This window comes from Homo sapiens, chromosome 2, assembly GCF_000001405.40.
Source record: "Homo sapiens chromosome 2, GRCh38.p14 Primary Assembly".
In the NCBI taxonomy this organism is placed as follows: Eukaryota; Metazoa; Chordata; class Mammalia; order Primates; family Hominidae; genus Homo; species Homo sapiens.
The window spans coordinates 241,827,890-241,848,111 of NC_000002.12; the positions used below are offsets into that span (position 1 = coordinate 241,827,890).

At 47.6% G+C, this 20,222-nt stretch overlaps 1 long non-coding RNA gene across 1 annotated transcript, besides 4 other annotated features; it reads left to right on the forward strand.

The window, feature by feature from the left end:
• Positions 6,323 to 6,823: an enhancer, noted in NCBI's record as "H3K4me1 hESC enhancer chr2:242776389-242776889 (GRCh37/hg19 assembly coordinates)". NCBI's record gives its function as "activates a minimal SCP1, AML or CMV promoter by ChIP-STARR-seq in naive H9 embryonic stem cells {active_cell/tissue: H9 hESC(naive)}" and the evidence as "EXISTENCE:reporter gene assay evidence [ECO:0000049][PMID:30033119]".
• Positions 14,037 to 14,196: a silencer, noted in NCBI's record as "fragment chr2:242784078-242784237 (GRCh37/hg19 assembly coordinates)". NCBI's record gives its function as "represses an EF-1alpha promoter that drives an FKBP-Casp9 reporter gene in an ReSE screen in K562 erythroleukemia cells {active_cell/tissue: K562}" and the evidence as "EXISTENCE:reporter gene assay evidence [ECO:0000049][PMID:32094911]".
• Positions 14,800 to 15,497: an enhancer, noted in NCBI's record as "H3K27ac-H3K4me1 hESC enhancer chr2:242784841-242785538 (GRCh37/hg19 assembly coordinates)". NCBI's record gives its function as "activates a minimal SCP1, AML or CMV promoter by ChIP-STARR-seq in naive H9 embryonic stem cells {active_cell/tissue: H9 hESC(naive)}" and the evidence as "EXISTENCE:reporter gene assay evidence [ECO:0000049][PMID:30033119]".
• Positions 15,128 to 15,422: a silencer, noted in NCBI's record as "tiled region #12914; K562 Repressive DNase matched - State 8:EnhW". NCBI's record gives its function as "represses a minimal TATA promoter and a strong SV40 promoter by Sharpr-MPRA in K562 cells {active_cell/tissue: K562}" and the evidence as "EXISTENCE:reporter gene assay evidence [ECO:0000049][PMID:27701403]".
• Positions 16,278 to 18,591, forward strand: LOC124905350 (uncharacterized). The gene is made up of 2 exons (XR_007088410.1): positions 16,278 to 16,589; positions 16,676 to 18,591. It is a non-coding gene; the product is annotated as an uncharacterized LOC124905350 (long non-coding RNA).

Consider the following 20,222-nt stretch of genomic DNA (forward strand, 5'->3'; position numbering starts at 1 on the left):
TTAGCCAGGCATGGTGGTGCATGGCTGTAGTCCCAGCTACTTGGGAGGCTGAGGCAGGGGAATCACTTGAACCTGGGAGGCAGAGGTTGCAGTGAGCTGAGATCACGCCACTGCACTCCAGCCTGGCGACAGAGCAAGACTCCGTCTCAAAAAAAAAAAAAAAAAAAGGTGGGAGGTGAATCTAAATGAAAATGAACTGTAGAAAATTACAACAGCAGCAATGTCTTGTGGGGTTTCAACTATATATAGACTTAAAATACATAATGAAAATAGTACTAAAGCGGAGAGGGAGGTAGATGGAATGAAAGTGTTCTGAAATCCTTGCATTGTTCAAGAAAAGGTGAAAGTACCAATTCATATTAGCCAAGGATGCATGATGAAATCCCTAGTGTCAACACTGAAAGAACAGCAAAATTATATGATCACCAGACTAACAGAGGTGCCAAATGAAAAATAGAAAATGGTCAATTTATAAAAGACAAGGGATTACAGACTTAAATGTTAGACCTAAAACCATAAAAACCCTAGAAGAAAACCTAGGCAATTACATTCAGGACATAGGCGTGGGCACGGACTTCATGACTAAAATACCAAAAGCAATGGCAACAAAAGCCAAAATAGACAAGTGGGATCTAATTAAACTAAAGAGCTTCTGCACAGCAAAAGAAACTACCATCACTATGCAGCCATAAAAAATGATGAGTTCATGTCCTTTGTAGGGACTTGGATGAAATTGGAAATCATCATTCTCAGTAAACTATTGCAAGAACAAAAAACCAAACACCGCATGTTCTCACTCATAGGTGGGAATTGAACAATGAGAACACATGGACACAGGAAGGGGAACATCACACTCTGGGGACTGTTGTGGGGTGGGGGGAGGGGGGAGGGATAGCATTAGGAGATATACCTAATGCTAAATGATGAGTTAATGGGTGCAGCACACCAGCATGGCACATGTATACATATGTAACTAACCTGCACATTGTGCACATGTACCCTAAAACTTAAAGTATAATAATAATAATAATAATAAAAAGAAACTACCATCAGAGTGAACAGGCAACCTACAGAATGGGAGAAAATTTTTGCGATCTACCCATCTGACAAAGGGCTAATATCCAGAATCCACAAAGAACTTAAACAAATTTACAAGAAAAAATCAAACAACCCCATCAAAAAGTGAGCAAAGGATATGAACAGACACTTCTCAAAAGAAGACATTTATGCATCCAACAAACACATGAAAAAATGCTCATCATCACTGGCCATCAGAGAAATGCAAATCAAAACCACAATGAGATACCATCTCACACCAGTTAGAATGGCGATCATTTAAAAGTCAGGAAATGACAGGTGCTGGAGAGGATGTGGAGAAATAGGAACGCTTTTACACTGTTGGTGGGACTGTAAACTAGTTCAACAATTGTGGAAGACAGTGTGGTGATTCCTCAGGGATCTAGAACTAGAAATACCATTTGACCCAGTGATCCCATTACTGGGTATATACCCAAAGGATTATAAATCATGCTGCTATAAAGACACATGCACACGTATGCTTATTGCGTCACTATTCACAATGGCAAAGACTTGGAACCAACCCAAATGTCCATCACTGATAGATTGGATTAAGAAAATGTGGCACATATACAGCATGGAATACTATGCAGCCATAAAAATGGATGAGTTCATATCCTTTGTAGGGACATGGATGAAGCTGGAAACCATCATTCTGAGCAAACTATTGCAAGGATAGAAAACCAAACACCGCATGTTCTCACTCATAGGTGGGAATTGAACAATGAGAACACTTGGACACAGGGTGGGGAACATCACACACTGGGACCTGTCGTGGGGTGGGGGGAGGGGGGAGGGATAACATTAGGAGAAATACCTAATGTAAATGACGAGTTAATGGGTGCAGCACACCAACATGGCACATGTATACATATGTAACAAACATGCACGTTGTGCACACGTACCCTAGAACTTAAAGTATAATAAAAAAATTACCTGACACAATGTAAATGTCTTCAAAATATAAGCTACTATATACATCAGAATTATTAAAAGAATTTTGTGAAGAATCAGAAGTACAACCTCATATCAGATTTACTTTCCTTAAACAAAAATTTTTAACTTAGCACTGCTAATTGTGAAATTTGCAGTTAGCAAATCATTTCTTCCTACTATGAAGAAATAATTAGGCTCCCAAAAATCAACGGAAAGGAATTTGGATATTTTTATTTTACTTTTTTATTTTTTATTTCACTTGCTTTAGGGTACAGGTAGATTTTGGTTATATAGATGAATTGTATAGCGGTGAAGTCTGAGATTTTAGTGCGCCCCACACTCAAGTAGTGTACACTGTATCCAATAGCTAGTTTTTCATCCCTCACTGCCCTCCCAGTCTCCACACTTCTGAGTCTCCAGTGACCATTATAACATTCTACAGGCCTTTGCATACCCACAGCTTAGCTCCTACTTATAAGTGAGAAGCTACTTCACTTAGAATGATGGCTTCCAGCTCCATCGAAGTTGCAGTGAAAGATATTATTTCATTCTTTTTTATGGATGAGTAGCGTTTCCTGTGTATATCTACCACATTTTCTTTATCTGCTTGTCAGCTGATAGGCACACAGATTGGTTCCATATCTCTGCAATTGTGAATTGTGCTGTGATAATCATGCACATGCAGGTGTCTTTTTGATACAATGACTTCTTTTCCTTTGGGTAGATCTGGATTGCTGGATCAAATGGTGATCTGCTTTAAGCTCTTTGAGAAATCTTCATACTGTCCAGTGGAAGAGAATTTGAAACAGTTTATATAAAGATAAATGTTGGTTTACAGATGTTTTAAGTAAAACAAAACAATAAATCATTTAAAAAAAGACAAGGAATGAGAATAAATATACATAGAACAGGCAAGGCCAAAATAGAAAGCAATATTATGGCATCCAATTCAAACCCAAACATATCCAAATTACATTAAACATAAATCGACTAATATTCCAATTAAAAGAACAAAATGGCCATGCAGGCAAAAACCAAAAAACAAACAAACAAAGAAAAAGCCTTCCAAAACGCAACTAAACTCCATTGACAGTAGATTTAGAGAAGATATCGAGATTCAGAAAGATTGACAGTGAAGAGGGGAAACTAGACCACGAGAATATCCACATAAGCTCTCTTTATGTTAGGCAGAGACCTTACAGCTAAAGTTCTGCTAGTGATGCAGGTGACATTTCAAAATGATAAAAATTTTGATTCGCCAGAAAGTTTTAACAGTTTTACTTTTGTATGTACCTAATATGCCTCAAAGTGGACAAACTTATAGGGAAAATATGCATGTTATCAATTGCAGCAGAAAGTTTTCCGCATGAGTCTCTCAATAACCGACAGAGCAAGCAGACAAAAAACATCACTGAGGACAGAAGATGTGGCCAACGTGATGAATGAACCTGACTTAACTCACAAGTGTAGAATCCTGCACAAAACGGCTACAGCACATCCACTCGTCTCAAATACACTCAGATGTGAACACTGACATTATGTTGGGCCACAAAATCCATTCTCCACAAATTTCAAAGGATTGAAAATTACAGTGCAATTGAGCAAGAAATAAAAAGGAGAATTAAACATCACTATGTCCTCAGAAATTAAGAAACACAATTCTAGATAATTCATGGTTCAAAGAAGAAGCCACAGTGGAAATTAGACAATGTTTTGCAATTAGTTATGGAGATACTACATAAAGCTTGTGGGATAAAGCCAAAGCCAGGCTTAGAGGGAAATACATAGCCTCTAAATGCATATATCAGAAAAGAAGAATGACTGACCATCATTGATCTCAAGGAGCTGCATAAAGAACAGCGAATTAAATCCAAAGAAAGAAGGAAGAGAATAGTGAAGATGAGGACAAAATGATGGAAAAATGATACCGTAGAGCGAATTGAAAAAGCCAAGGTTTAGTGTTTGAAAAGACTAATAAAGTTGATAAGCCCTTGATGAGGCTGCTCATGAGAAAAAGAAAGAAAACATGAATAACTGGTACCAGGAATGACAAAGGATGCGCTGGAGATCCTGCGGGCAGTCAGAGATTTCAAAATTGTGTTATGATCCAATGAGAACACATGGACACAGGGAGGGGAACATCACACACCGGGGCCTGTGGGCGGGAGGGGAGGCAGTGAGGGGAGGGAGAGCATCGGGACAAATAGCTAATGCATGCGGTGCTTAGAACCTAGGTGACAGGTTGATAGGTGCAGCAAACCACCATGGCACATGTATACCCATGGAACAAACCTGCATATGTATCCGGAACTTAAAGTAAAATAAAAATTAAAAACAAACAAACAAAAAAGATGTTATGATCATTTTAATGCCAATAAACTTGCCAATTGAGATGAAATGGATAATTCTTGGAAAATACAATTTATTAAAATAAATATAAGATTACATAGAAAATCTGAAAAAAATCTTATTAAAGAAATTGAATCCATCATTTAAAATCTGCACACTAAGAAGACTCCAGGTCTACATGGCTTTCCCAGTAAACTCTGTCAAACACTTAAGGGCAAAAATCACACGTAGATGTCTTCCTGCAGAGAGCAGGGCTCTGAGCCCCGGCACTGTGAGGGGCTGCCGTGGGTGACACGACCCCCTCCTCTCTCCTACGCCACCAGGACGTGCGTGTTCCTCCCTTGGAGGGAGAGGCCATCAAGGAGCTTAGAAACATTCAGTATGCTACGAAAAATAAAGTACAAAAGTGTAACTAATACAACCACCAAAGCTTGGCCCACGAAAAAAAATTGATAAGAAAAGGTGATATAACACTGTTAAGACAGAGAAAAGATAAGCCACAGACTGAGAGAAAATCTTCACTGAACTCGTGCCTGATAAAGGACCAGGACCAGTGTTCAAAATAGTCAAGGTACTTTTAAAACTCAGCAATAAAAAAAAATCTGTTTAAAAAACAGGCCAAAGATCTGAAAGGACACCTTATCAAAGAAGATATATGGATGGCAAATAAGCATGTGAAAAAATACTTTGCAGGCGGAGGCAGGGGGATCACAGAGGCCAGGAGTTGGAGAGCAGCCTGGGCAACATGGTGAGACACCCTATCCCTAAAAAAAAAAATAAAATAAATAAATTATCTGGGTGTGGTGGTGCACAGCTATAGTCCCAGCTACTTGGGAGGTTGAGGCAGGAGGATTGTGTGAAACAAGGAGTTCAAGGCTGCAGTGAGCCGTGATTGCACCACTGCATTCCAGCCTGGGCAACAGCCAGACCCTGTGTCTTAAAAAAAAGGATGCTCAACACCGTATGTCATCAGGGAAATGCAAATTAAATAACACTACTGCATACCGACTGGAATGGCCCAAATCCAAAACACTGACAACACCAAGCGCTGGTGGAGACGTGGACGTTTCATTCATTTATTGCTGGTGGGAAAATGGTACTTTGGAAAAAAATTTGGCAGTTTCTTACAAAACTAAACATACTTTTATCATACGATCTAGAAATTGTGTCTCTTGGTATTTATCCAAAGGAGTTGGAGACTTATGTACCCATAAAAGCTTGCGTAGGATGAATTTATAGCAGCTTTATTCATAATGGCCAAAACGTGGAGGGAACCAAGATGTCCTTTCGTAAGTGAGTGGATAAATAGCCCGTGGTCCATCCAGACAATGGAAGATGACTCAGCACTAAATGAAATGAGCCATCGAGCCCTTCAAAAGCACGGAGGAAACTTAACTCATATTAGTAAGTGAGAGGAGCTGTGGACTTAAAAATCGCACTTTATAAATTTAGAGTTTTATTTCTTAAGAAGGAGATGACAACCTACAGGTGGAAGCCGAAGCTCCAGCTGAAAACCAAAAGTAAGCACTTTGAAAGAGGGGAGGGTGGAACGGAATTTATGCTGAATGAGCCGGACACATATGCATATTCAGCAGGTTATAGAAACATCTTATGAATAGTTATGAGAGAGTCCTACACTGCATACAATAAACGGGCATGTTATATACCACCCACGTTCACCTTGGGGTGGAGACTGCACATCTAACTGCGTTACAATCAGGCCCTGCACGTCAGAAGGTGGAGCCGGGACGGGAAGCACTCGGTGCGCAGCCTCTGTAAACCAGAACCAGTCCGGGGCTGGGGGTCCCTGCTCAGGGGACAGTTACTGAAATGCGGCTGTTGTCCGATGGCAGCTGTGGTTCTGGCTGGGGGAGCAGGGGTCAGCGAGGCAGTGTCTGGCAGGGGGTGAGCTGCACCTGCTTTAACGTTGTTCGTCTCAAGGCCAGCGTTTGGGTGTCAGAGAAAAAGAAAACTCCCGTGGCAGGTAGAACATAAATAAGTGCAGCGTGTGTGACTTCGCCCCTGCCTGGGGTGGCCTCAGGTCCCGTTGATAATGTGGCGTCTTATGGCCACAGTCGGTTCTGCCAGGCGATGTTCTCTATCTCAACACTCATGCTGGGCAGTTGCTGCGTCTAACCACACAGGGGAGGGGTGTCATGGGACGCATCTGATCTCCTGTCCCCTCAGGGCTGAGAACTCCATTTTTCAGGTTTCTCTGGGGTCCCCTTGACCAAGGGGTGAGGAGCCCGTCGGTTCAGTCAGTTGGGTGGCTTAGAATTTTATTTTTCGTCTCCATTTCCCGCTTTTGGCTGAGATTTGCCATAGGCAGCATCCACGGCCAAACCTTTATCTTGGCCCACCTTGTTGCTGGGGGAGGTGGGGCTACCTGCCCTGGTCCCTCCAGCCCTTCAGTGGAACCCTGATTGCCAAGGGGCTTACAGCTAAAAGACTTACAGCCAACTCAACGTTCTGGGCCAGGCGGAATTGGAGGTAATATAAGAGCTGAAAACCAAAAGCCAAAAGGCGAAGTGACAAAACTGGCTTATCTATAAGTTCCAAGTGTTGAGCTATCATAATTTTGGTCTCAGTCTCTGACTTGTAGCAATTAGCTACACGAAACGTAAGCATTTTGTTAAAACCATTTCAGCTAAGGAATTTAGAGACTTTGATATGCTGCTGTGCTTTTTGTGGTCTTTTTAGTAATTTGTCCTAAGGCGGCCAATACCGTTTTAATTGTATCTCTATTTGTATAAATCCCATAACTGGGAACAGCTGTATTCTGGAGGCTGTGTCACTAGGTGTCATTACATCCTCTTGGTAATTAAGTCTATGGGAAGCAGGAAATTCTTTAGAGGGTTAGAGTTGGAGGGATGGAGAGGGAACCACCTAATGGCCCAGGAGGCACAGTCCCTTGATTTGTCAGCAGTGCAGGCATCTATGCACTGTCCTTGATTTGGAGGGTCTGAGCTAGTTTTTTTTTTTTTTTTTTTTTTTTTTTTTTTTTTTTTTGAGATGGAGTCTCACTCTGTCACCCAGGCTGGAGTGCAGTGGCATGATCTCGGCTCACTGCAACCTCTGCCTCCCGGGTTCAAGCCATTCTCCTGCGTCAGCCTCCAGAGTAGCTGGGATTACAAGCGCGTGCCACCATGTGAAGCTAGTTTTTGTATTTTTAGTAGAGACGGGTTTCACCATGTCGGCCAGGCTGGTCTCGAACTCCTGACCTTGGATGATCCGCCTGCCTTGGCCTCCCAAAGTGGTGGGATTACAGGCATGAGCCACCGCACCCAGCCTGAACTAGTTTTATCCTTTGAAGCCAGCCCTTACCATCTCACGCCCCCTTCTCTTCCTCAGCAGTCCCTGGGCCTAGACAGAGGGTGCTTGATATGGTATAGCTTCAGCAACAGCTCCAGGAGACTTTGAATGAGAGAGATTTGAGAGATAAATGGCATTAATAATTTGAGTGGTAGAATTATAACGTACAGGCATAATGTGTCTGGAGTTGGTTCCTTTGGTGGTTTCGTGGTCTCGCTGACTTCAAGAATGAAGCCACGGACTTTTGCAGTGAGTGTTACAGCTCTCAAAGATGGCACACATCCAAAGGGTGAGCAGTAGCAAGGTTTATTGTGAAGAGCAAGAGAACAAAGCTTCCACACCATGGAAGGGGACCTGAGCAGGTTGTTGCTGCTGGCTGGGGTGGCCAGCTTTTATTCCCTATTTGTCCCCTCCCATGTTCCATTTTTGTCCCATCAGAGTGCCCTTTTTTCAATCCTCCCTGTGATTGGCTACTTTTAGGATCCTGCTGATTGGTGCATTTTACAGAGTGCAGATTGGTGTATTTTACAGAGCGCTGATTGGTGCATTTTACAATCCTCTTGCTAGCTACAGAGCGCTGATTGGTGCATTTTTACAGAGCGCTGATTGATGTGTTTTACGATCCCCTTGCTAGCTACAGAGCTCTGACTGGTGCGTTTTACAATCCTAGCTACAGAGCTCTGATTGGTGCGTTTTACAATCCTCTTGTAAGACAGAAAATTTCTGCAAGTCCCCACGCCACCCAGGAAGTCCAGCTGGCTTTGCCTCTCAACAAGAATTTATGCGCCCCTAACAGGAAGAAAGGAATCAACCCCATTAGGGAGCCAACTAAAACGATCATGAAGAAAATTACAACCTGGATCCTCTTTAGAGATGTGTAGCCAAGAGATAATTCAAGACTCAGTTTGAATTATAGGCAAAAAATAAAACTCAAGAACAGTGGTCGGGGCTGGAATTGCAGAACAAGTGTTTTCTTTTGAAACGTAATTTTTTTCATCTCTTTAGTTCCCCCTTTCTACCACAGAGAAATAATAATAAGACCAATTTGTGTACAAAATAAGTTTTAGTCTTATTCTATTTGGCTTGATCATTTGTGTAAATTGCAGCAGGAATAGCAGCTGGCCGTGTAGGCTCTTTTTAAATTGGCTTTGCTGGAACTTTATCGGAAAGTGTTATTTCAGTCAAAGGTCTTGTTAAAATAATATCCCCAAAGTGTCCTGTTACAAAAGAAAATGTATTCTTATTGAACTTATGCAAACCACCATATTGCTGTAAGTAAGAATGCTCATGAATAGTTTTTGAATTCTGGAGGTAGAAGGTAGAGAGAGAAAGCTGAACTTTGTTATTTTACTCAGTTTCTGTCACCTATAAATAGGTTAAAAGAAAAAAGGTTTTCTTGACTTTGGAAAACAAAACAAAGAATCAGTAACACTTTAAATACAAAGGCAATAAGCGCTGTTCAGTTCTGATAAGAACAGGAAAAGGAAGCTCACAGGTAGCTAAACATCTAAAGTATATAGTACTAAGACATAGAGCAAATTATATTAATTCAGATAGAGGGAAAACTATGAAATGTCTTAACGTCTTGGAGTATAAACCCAGCCCTGTGTCTCATGAAAGCCGTTCACTTCGATGGTTGTCTTCCCCCGGATCTGAAGACAAGGCTTTGGTTAGCTTGAGTTTGGTTTCAGATACCAGTGTGGAATGTTCAAGATTCAGCAGGAGTTGGTGCCTTTTTTAGGTGATGTGATACGGTTTGGCTGTGTGTCCCCACCCAAATCTCATCTCGAATTGTAATCCCCATGTGTTGAGGGAGGGACCTGGTGGGAGCTGATTGGGTCATGGGAGCTTGTTTCCCCCACGCTGTTCTCGTGATACTGAGTGAATTCTCTCGAGATCTGATGGTTCGATAAGGGGCTCTTCCCCCTTTGCTCTTTCTCTCTCCCCTGCCATGATGAACAGGATGAACGCAAAATTAAATTAAGACGTACCTTGCTTCCCCTTCACCTTCCACCATGATTCTAAGTTTCCTGAGGCTTCCCCAGCCATGGGGAACTGTGAGTTAATGAACCCTCTTTTGTTGATAAATTACCCCGTCTCAGGTAGTGTCTTTACAGCGTGTGAAATCAAACTCATACAGGCTCTCGGGGCATTTGTAGCTGCAATGCTCCCTGCCTGGGATGCCTTTCCTTTGCATCTTCCTCTGGCTGTCACCTCTTTTGTTTATAAATTACCCAGTCTCGGGCAGTTCTCTATAGCAGTGTGAAAACAGACTCATACTCTATGTGTGCCCAGGAGTCAACTCCCTGTAACTTGGTAGCACATGGATTTGTTAATAGTACCTTTTAAGGACCCTTCCAAAGTGCAGGGGAAAGAGTCCTGTAACTGATGTTTCTTCCAGTGTATGTAATCAGCAGGCTGGAGGTGGTGATTTTGGAGTTCATGACACAACTGGAAGCTGCAAAAAGATTTTACAGGCCAGGTGTGGAGGCTCACTCCTATAATCCCAGCACTTTGGGTTCACTTGAACCCAGGAGTTCGAGGCTGCGGTGAGCTATGACTGTGCCACTGCACTCCAGCCTGGGCAACAGAGTGAGACTCTGTCTCAAAAAAATATGTATAATCTCGTAATGATTCATTTTTATAGCTTTGATGATCCTGCCTGCAATAAGTCTAAGTGAGATGCTTAATGTAGGATTTGATTTTGAGGACTTTTGTGAAAGATGTTAAAAGGCTCAAAACATTTGATCAAAATAGAATCCTAGGTCATTGTAAAATAATAGTTACTCATGTAACCATTGCCATCTTCAATGGCAAGGCAGAAAGTTACATGGATGTAAAAACAAGCTCAGTTTTCATAAGCAATCAAAAAACCAAATAAAAATGACACTGGAAATTATCTTGATAAAATGCAAAATCTTCGTTTTTTGAGGCCAGTTACTCAAAAGGCAAAGAAACACCTTCTGCAGTCATTGTTTCTCCTCTGGAAGCCCATTGAGCTAACCTGCAAGTCAAACCTGATGAAAAAGGATATTTGAATTTAGTCAGGTGCAGGAAGAGTGTGTCTAGGGTCATGAGTGTACCTGATGTTATGGAGGAAAGGAAACAAGAAAACCAGCACCTTGAGCAGGGCAATGCATGACTCTTAGTAACAGCATGAGAAGTTTCCTGGCTATACTGAACAATGTATAACAAGAAAAGCCAAGAGTACAGAATCAAGTTATATGAAGGAAAACATTGCTTTTCTAGACCTTTAAGATCAACATTTCAGCATCAGGCCACAGCAGTAGTTACAATTGGAAAAGAAAGTTACAGGAGCTGATGAAAAAAAAGGCTGAAAGGGAAGGTTATCATCCCAACCAAGCAAAAAGATACACCTTGGCAAGGGCACAAGAACAGAAGGCAAGGATCAACACAGAATTAAACATCAATTTTTTTTTTTTTTGAGATGGAGTCTTGCTTTGTTACCAGGCTGGAGTGCAGTGGCACAATCTCGGCTCATTGCAACCTCCGCCTCCCAGGTTCAAGCGATTCTCCTGCCTCAGCCTCCTGAGCAGCTGGGATCACAGGTGTCCACCACCACGCCTGGCTAATTTTTGTATTTTTAGTAGAGACAGGGTTTCACCATGTTGGTCGGGCTGGTCTCGAACTTCTGACTTCAGGTGACCCACTTGCCTCGGCCTCGCAAAATGTTGAGATTACAGGTGTGAGCCACCGCGCCCACCTAAACATCAAATTTTATTAATAGCAAATTATTATTTTAACAAAACTTTTCTCTAACCGAAAACTTTTGGTTTTATATTAATTAGTGTACTTTTTTTTTTTTTTGAGATGGAGTCTCAGCCTGTTGCCCAGGCTGGAGTACAATGGCACCATCTCAACTCACTGCAACCTCTGCCTCCCGGGTTCAAACGATTCTTCTGCCTCAGCCTCCCGAGTAGCTGGGATTACAGGTTCCCGCCACCACATTCAGCTAATTTTTGTATTTTCAGTATAGACAGGGTTTCACCATGTTGGCCAGGTTGGTCTCAAACTCCTGACCTTATGATCCGCCCGCCTAGGCCTCCTGAGTGCTGGGATTACAGGCGTGAGCCACTGCACCTGGACCAATTAGTGTACTTTTAATATCAAAGTTCAATCTTTAGAAAGACTGCTATAAGCAATTTCCTTTTAGTAATAGCCAGCTTAAACATATACAAAATTCCTTTCATACTTAAAAAAAAATTTTTTTTTGAGACAGGGTCTTTCTCTGTGTCCCAGGCTGGAGTGCAGTGGTGCCATCTCAGCTCACTGCAGCCTCTGCCTCCCGGGTTCACGCCATTCTCCTGCCTCAGACTCCCGAGTAGCTGGGATTAAAAGCATGCACAACCACACCAGGCTAATTTTTGTAATTTAGTAGAGATAGAGTTTCACCACGTTGCCCAGGCTGGTCTTGAACTCCTGGGCTCAAGTAATCTGCCTACCTTGGCCTCTCAAAGTGCTAGGATTACAGGTGTACGTTTTTTTTATGAACCTTATCACAACTTATACAGACTGTTTACAACATGCTGCGACTTAATGGTTTGTCCTGTGCTCTCTCTTTCTTAAATAACCAGTCATTTTACTTTAGGACAAAAATTTAGCACACAAGATTCCTTTTCATAGAAAAGTTACAGAAATCAGTCTCTTGTCCAATCAAAGTGGTCATTAGGGCTGGTGGCCGAGGGGAGCGAGTCATGAGCCAGCGTCTGGCGGCAGGTGAGATGCAGCTGTGTGAATGTGGCTTCCCTAGAGGCTGGTGCTTGTTTAGCTGCTAGAGAAAAAGAAAACCTCAGCAGGGCACGGTGGTTCATGCCTGTAATCCCAGCACTTTGGGAGGCCGAGGCTGGCAGAATACGAGGTCAGATCAAGACCAGCCTGACCAACATGGTGAAACCCTGTCTACTAAAAATACAAAAATTAGCCGGGTGTGGTGGTGCATGCCTGTAATCCCAGCTACTCAGGAGGCTGAGGCAGGAGAATGGCATGAATCTGGGAGGCGGAGGATGCAGTGAGCCGGGATGGCCCCACTGCACTCCAGCCTGGGCAACGGAGTGAGACTCCACCTCAGAAAAAAAAAAAAAAAGAAAACCTCATGGCAGGCAGGACATAAGTCAGTGCAGCGTGTGTGACTTCACCCTGCCTGGTGCAGCCTCAGGTCCTGTTGATAATTTGGCATCTTACTGCTGTATTCAGCCCTGCCAATTTTTTTTTTTTTTTTGAGACAGAGTCTCACTCTGTCTCCCAGGCTGGAGTGCAGTGGTGCGATCTCGGCTCACTGAAACCTCCGCCTCCCAGGTTCAAGCGATTCTCCTGCCTCAGCCTCCCGAGTAGCTGGGATTATAGGCGCCCGCCACCACGGCCAGCTAATTTTTTTATTTTTAGTAAAGATGGGGTTTCATCACGTTGGCCAGGCTGGTCTTGAACTCCTGACCTCAAGTGATCCACCCACCTCATCCTCCCAAAGTGCTGGGATTACAGGCGTGAACCACCACGCCTGGCCCAATCCTGCCAATCTTATGGTCTCTATTTCAACATTCACTCTGGGCATTTGTGTCTAAACCACAAAAGGGAGGGGCTCTAACGAGCTGTATATGTCCTCCTGTCCCGTCCTAGCTGGGAACTCAGGTGTTAAGGTTTCTCTGGGGTCTCCTTGGCTAACAGGCGTCCTTTTAGTTGACTGGGAGCTTAGAATTTTATTTTTAGTTCTCAAAGCTAATCTGAAAAGGCCGCATGCTGTATGATTCCAACTATACAACATTCCGGGAGAGGCAATCTACCCAGACAGTAAGAATCCTCAGTGGTTGCCAGGGAAGGGAGGGGTGAATAGTGGAGCTCGGGGGAATTTCGGGGCAGGGAAGCCTCTCCTGACACCATCATGGTGGATACCTGACCTCATGCACTTGCCAGGACTCCCGGAACGCAAGACGCCAAGACTGGCCCCCAATTCGAGCTGTGGACCCTGCGTGATGGGGCCAGGTCAGTGCAGATTCGTCGCACAGCAAGGACCCAGCACCAAGGCAAAGGCGCTAACAATAGGGGTGCAGAGTGTGTGTGAGGGGCGAGGCGAGGGGCACATGGGGGCTCCGTCTACTTTCCACTCAGCTTTTCCATAAACCCCAAACTGCTTTAGATAGTAGAGCCTATTAATTTTTAAAAAAGTGTAGCTATAAAAATTCCAAGAAAAGAGAAGGAAGAAAGTGGATGACAATCAGTATAATCTTGAGGGCATCCACGTGGCCAATGGACTTGTGAAAACGTGATCGGCTGCAGGCCCGCCTTGGCTGAGGGACCCCCTGCCGCACCGGCCATTCCCCCCACAAGCCCAGACTTCCTGGAAGAGCTGGGGTCCTGCGTGCCACCTGCTCCGCCTCCTTCGGCCTGCAATGGTTCATTCTGTGTCAGCTTGGCCAGGCCGCAGGACTCTGATGTTGGTCAAACAGCAGTCCAGAAGTTTCAGTGAAGGTATTTTTCGAAGATAAAATTACCGCTGAGATCAGTAGACTTTGAATCAGCAGGTCAGCCTCCGCGACACAGGAGTCTCATCCAGTCTATGAAGGCCGGAGAGAAAGGAGAGAAAGGAGGATGGAATCCTGCCTGCAGGCATCTTTGGATTTGAGTGGCTACTTCGGCTCCTCCTGCGTCCCCAGCCTGCCTGCCTGCCGTAGTCATGTGAGCCAATTTCTCCAAGTAAGTTTCTCTCTCTCTGTCTCCACATTCTATTGGTTCTTTTTTTTTTTTTCTTTTTTTGAGACGGAGTTTTGTTCTTGTTGTTTAGGCTGGAGTGCAATGGCGCGATCTCGGCTCACTGCAACTTCCATCTCCTGGGTTCAAGCAATTCTCCTGCCTCAACCTCCCAAGTACCTGAGATTACAGGCATGCGCCACCACCCACGGCTAATTTTGTATTTTTAGTATAGATGGGGTTTCTCCATGTTGGTCAGGCTGGTCTCGAACTCCTGACCTCAAGTGATCTGCTTGTCCTGACCTCCCAAAGTGCTGGGATTACAGGCATGAGCCACCACTCCCGGCCTATTGGTTCTATTTCTCTAGAGAACTCTCACTACTACAGCTACACCTCCCTGGGCCTCAGTTTCCCCTTCTGTCCATCAGCGAGGCCGAAGGCTGCCATGGGCTGAGGTCTCACACCCGGCGCTCCTGCCCCTGCCCCTGATTCCGGGGCAGCCTGCATAGGCCAGGCAGTGGTCGAGGCCCACTTTCCCCGCCCAGCAACTGTGGTTCAGCGGTTCAGCGGCTGACCTCCCAGCCCAGAAACAGAAACTCTTTTTCTCTTGCAAAACAGAAAGTGTCCCCATTAAACACTCACTTCCCGCTGGCTCCCCCGACCCCGGGCCCCACCGTCTGCTTTTTCTGCCTATGAACCGGCCCACTCTGGGGACCTCGTGTGTGGGGAGTCACACAGTGTTTGTCCTTTTGTGGCTTGTGCCCCTCGGTGTGACGTCCTCGAGGTTCCTCCACGCTGCGGCGGGTGTGGGAGCCCTTCCTTCCTGAGGTGACTCCCTCTGTGCGGAATCACCGTGCTGTCCGTTCCTTCCTCCGGCGGTGGACACGGAGCTGCTGCTTCCACATGGCCGCTGATTGTGAATTGCGCTGCTGGGAATGGGGTGCACTGACTTCCATCTTTTTAAGGCTGAATACTCCTCCATGTATGTAATAACTTGGTTTTGCAGGTTGAATTGAGATAAAAACTGAAGACCCCAAACCAATCTTGGATTCTGTGGCTAAGCAGTTGGGGACGACGGTGCCCCCGTGCCCGGGGCAGGCATCCTGCGCTCTCACAGCCCTGGCCAGTGGCACCGGCAGTGCCCCTCCGGCCACACCCCGGCCAGGTTTTCTAAGGCTGGACAAACACAGGGGCCCCCACTGGTGGGTGCGGCAGACTGACTGGGGTCAGAGGTATGGGGAGAACACGCGGAGATCCACCCAAGAAGGGGAGCGATTGTGCCACAGTCGAGGGGGCCACGGCGATGGTGTGGTCACACGGCCTCGGTCACCCTCCAGAGGACCCTCCACATCCTGAACTCTCCAGAATCTCAGGAGCCTCACCCAGACTCAGAGCGAGGTTTGTCCACACTGGAGCCCTGACGCACGAGGGTAGAGACCACCAGGACTCACACCGCAGCCCCCCATGCGGCCCCACCAGCCCCCAGGGCCTTGGCGCTGCACCCAGATCGCCAGCCCGGTCTCCTGTAGCCCGAGGGTGGGTTCCCTTTCAGAGGCCCCCCGCTCACCTTCGCTCCTGCTGGGAGCCCTGGGCGGACTCCCCCCCACCCCGCCCAATTCCAAGGACCCCGGGCTCCATCCACGAGGCCCACAGGACCCGCGGTCCCCCGTGCAGAGTAAGGCGTCCAACGCCCACGCACTCCGCAGACCCGGCCGGTGGGTGTGGGCGGGGCTGGGGTGGGGCGCAGGGGTGGGGGCGGCGCTGCAGGGTCGGGGGCGCGGGGGCGCGGGGGCGCGGGGGCGCGGGCGTGGGTGGAGCTGGCCGGGCTCAGGGGCCTGGGACACGGGGCGGGGCCGCGCCTCTCTCGCTCCGGGTCCCACGCGCCCCGGCCTCCTCCCGGCACTGTCCCCCGGGGAGCCCCGAGGCCCGGCCACACCCAGGGCGCTCCTGAAGCCGCCGCAGCTGCTGTGCGAGGCCGGGCCGACCCGCCTGGGGCGCGTGGGTGGGGCGGGAGCGCAGCCGCAGCCCGGCGGCGACACAGGCCCGGGGCCAGCCGGGGACGGAAAAAGTGAGTGCGCGGCGGCGCGGGGCGGCCTGACGGGAAGGCGGGAGGCGAAGTGCTGACTGCGCCGCGGTCTCTCAGCCGCCAACACACCGCGGACGCCCGGGGACAGCGACCGCTTCCTCCCTCCCCGCCCGCCTTGTCTCTTTTTGTGAGTATCGATCTGAGCTCATGTTCTTTTTAACGTACTCAAAGTGTGTCAATCAATTAGGCTTTTTTTTTTTTTTTTTTTGACAGGGTCTTGCTCTGTCGCCCAGGCTGGAGTCAGTGGCACCATCGTGGCTCACTGCGGCCTCCACCTCCGGGACTCCAGGGATCCTCCCGCCTCAGCCTCCCGAGGAGCTGGGACCACCGCACCTGGCTAATTTTAAAATTTTTCCTTAGAGACAGGATCTCACTTTGCTGCCCAGGCTGGTCTCAAACTCCTGGGCTCAAGCGACCCTCCCGCCTCGGCCTCCCAAAGTGCCACCGTGCCAAGCCTCAGTTAGGTTTTTAATTTTAATTTGGCATTGTTTGATGCTCAGACTGCTGCCGTGTCATTTTCACACGACAGCAAGTTGGGGACAGCGAGTTGTTCTGTCCTGCGCGTGTGTCCCCTCATGGTCTTGAGTGACCTGACCCTCTGTGGGGAGCCCTGAGCCTCCTCCCTGCTCCCGCGGCCCCAGCTCTCAGCTGATGGAGGCTCCGGGGCGGGCTCAAGCCCCCGGCCGGCTTTGGACGGCTTTGCCGTTGCCGAGCCAGCGCCGTGAGCTCGTGGGCTCTGCGTCTGCACATGTTTGCCGGTGACCTCTGGGAAGTGTTTCGACGAGGATGGGGGTTGAGGGGGCAAAGGGCAAGTGCCCACCGCCTACCAGACAGCACCGGTGCGTCTCCAGCTCGGCTTCCCCGCCAGCCCCTCAGGCCTGCTCCCTGCTGCCTCGCCAACAGCCGCACCGTTGTCAGAGCTCTGTCAGCCTGGTGGATGTAGTTTCAACTTGTATTTTTGTTGAGAGAACCTGAACAACCTTTCATTGTTTAAGGGATATGGGTATGCACGCAGGCACTGCCGTATATACATATATTGTAGATACACACGTCCGCACACCTGTACACACACACCCACACACATACCCCTGTGTATGTACATACACACATTTGTATGCACACATATGTCTACACACGTGTAGACACGTGCACACACAGGCTCACGCACACACATTTTCTCTGAGCTGTTGGGTTATGTCTCCTGCACTTTCTCGTGTATTTTTGACCTTGCTTTTTCCAGACTCTTAGATCTTCCTACGACTGGCATATTCGCTCTTTTGTGGTGGTGCAAACATTTTCCCTCAGTTTGTTTATGATTTTTTTTGCCAAGCTAAAGTTTTTTGTTTTCCAATATATGGAGTTCAGTGTATCAGTCTTCTCTTTAATTGTTGCCTGATGTCCTTTATTCATTGGGAATGCCTTCCCCTCCCACACTGCAAGAATGCACCCACGGTTTCTTGTTTCTTGTAGGGTTCCTTTTTTTTTCTTTTTTGAGACGGAGTCTTGCTGTGTCGCCCAGGCTGGAGTGCAGTGGCATGATCTCGGCTCACTGCAAGCTCCGCCTCCCGGGTTCACGCCATTCTCCTGCCTCAGCCTCCCGAGTAGCTGGGACCACAGGTGCCCGCCACCATGCCCGGCTAATTTTTTGTGTTTTTAGTAGAGACAGGGTTTCACCGTGTTAGCCAGGATGGTCTCAATCTCCTGACCTTGTGATCCACCCGCCTCGACCTCCCAAAGTGCTGGGATCACAGGCGTGAGCCACCACGCGCGGCCAGGGTTCTTTTTGTATGCTTTTCTCTCTGCTGCATTTGGGATTTTGTGCATATGAGTCTAACTTAATACTTTTCCAGATGGCTATCCCTATCCCTGGGCAGTTGGTTAAAAAGTCGTTTTTCCCCTCACTGATTTGGGTCGCAGGGACTGGGCCTGTTCCTGTGTCTTCTGGTGCTTATCCCACCCTGTTTTCATTACAGTAAGTTTCCCCTGAGCTCATAAAGCTGGTCCTCTTTCACTTTCTTTTCATGGTTTTTTTGGCTGTTACTTGCTTGTTAATTTTTCCATATGAGCATGGTAGTTCCAGAACTGTGGTTTTTACTGGGATCGTATTAAATTTACAAATTGTATCGGAAGAACGTGCATGTTTGCAGCTGTGGCGCCTCTTCGGGGCCCGGGGGTCAGGGTGCCTTTGATTGAGTTCAGCCTCTGCGGCAGCTTTCCCACGTTTCTGGCTAGGTTTATGCCGGGAGCATCTTCTCTCTTGCTGTCCTAGATGAAACATCGCCCGCCACTCCGTCTCCTAGCGCACTGTGCTGTGAATGGGGTGAATGGGTGTATGAGAGCCGTGAATTTTGGACGCTGGCGCGCTGCGCTGTGAATGGGTGTTTGAGAGCCTTGAGTTCTGGATGCTAGCGCGCTGCGCTGTCAATGGATGAATGAGAGCCGTGAGTTCTGGATGCTGGCGCGCTGCGCTGTGAATGGGTGTTTGAGAGCCTTGAGTTCTGGATGCTGGCGCGCTGCGCTGTCAGTGGATGAATGAGAGACGTGAGTTCTGGATGCTAGCGCCCTGCGCTGTCAATGGATGAATGAGAGCCGTGAGTTCTGGATGCTGGCGCGCTGCGCTGTGAATGGGTGTTTGAGAGCCTTGAGTTCTGGATGCTGGCGCGCTGCGCTGTCAATGGATGAATGAGAGCCTTGAGTTCTGGATGCTGGCGCGCTGCGCTGTCAGTGGATGAATGAGAGACGTGAGTTCTGGATGCTGGCGCGCTGCGCTGTGAATGGGTGTATGAGAGCCTTGAGTTCTGGATGCTGGCGCGCTGCGCTGTGAATGGGTGTTTGAGAGCCTTGAGTTCTGGATGCTGGCGCGCTGCGCTGACAATGGATGAATGAGAGCCTTGAGTTCTGGATGCTGGCGCGCCGCGCTGTCAGTGGATGAATGAGAGACGTGAGTTCTGGACGCTGGTGCGCAGCGCTGTCAATGGATGAATGAAAGCCTTGAGTTCTGGATGCTGGCGCGCTGCGCTGTGAATGGGTGTTTGAGAGCCTTGAGTTCTGGATGCTGGCGTGCTGCGCTGTCAGTGGATGAATGAGAGACGTGAGTTCTGGACGCTGGCGCGCTGCGCTGTCAATGGATGAATGAGAGCCTTGAGTTCTGGATGCTGGCGCGCTGCGCTGTGAATGGGTGTTTGAGAGCCTTGAGTTCTGGATGCTGGCGTGCTGCGCTGTCAGTGGATGAATGAGAGACGTGAGTTCTGGACGCTGGCGCGCTGCGCTGTCAATGGATGAATGAAAGCCTTGAGTTCTGGATGCTGGCGCGCTGCGCTGTGAATGGGTGTATGAGAGCCTTGAGTTCTGGATGCTGGTGCGCTGCGCTGTCAATGGATGAATGAGAGCCGTGAGTTCTGGATGCTGGCGCGCTGCGCTGTGAATGGGTGTTTGAGAGCCTTGAGTTCTGGATGCTGGCGCGCTGCGCTGTCAGTGGATGAATGAGAGACGTGAGTTCTGGATGCTAGCGCGCTGCGCTGTCAATGGATGAATGAGAGCCGTGAGTTCTGGATGCTGGCGCGCTGCGCTGTGAATGGGTGTTTGAGAGCCTTGAGTTCTGGATGCTGGCGCGCTGCGCTGTCAATGGATGAATGAGAGCCTTGAGTTCTGGATGCTGGCGCGCTGCGCTGTCAGTGGATGAATGAGAGACGTGAGTTCTGGATGCTGGCGCGCTGCGCTGTGAATGGGTGTATGAGAGCCTTGAGTTCTGGATGCTGGC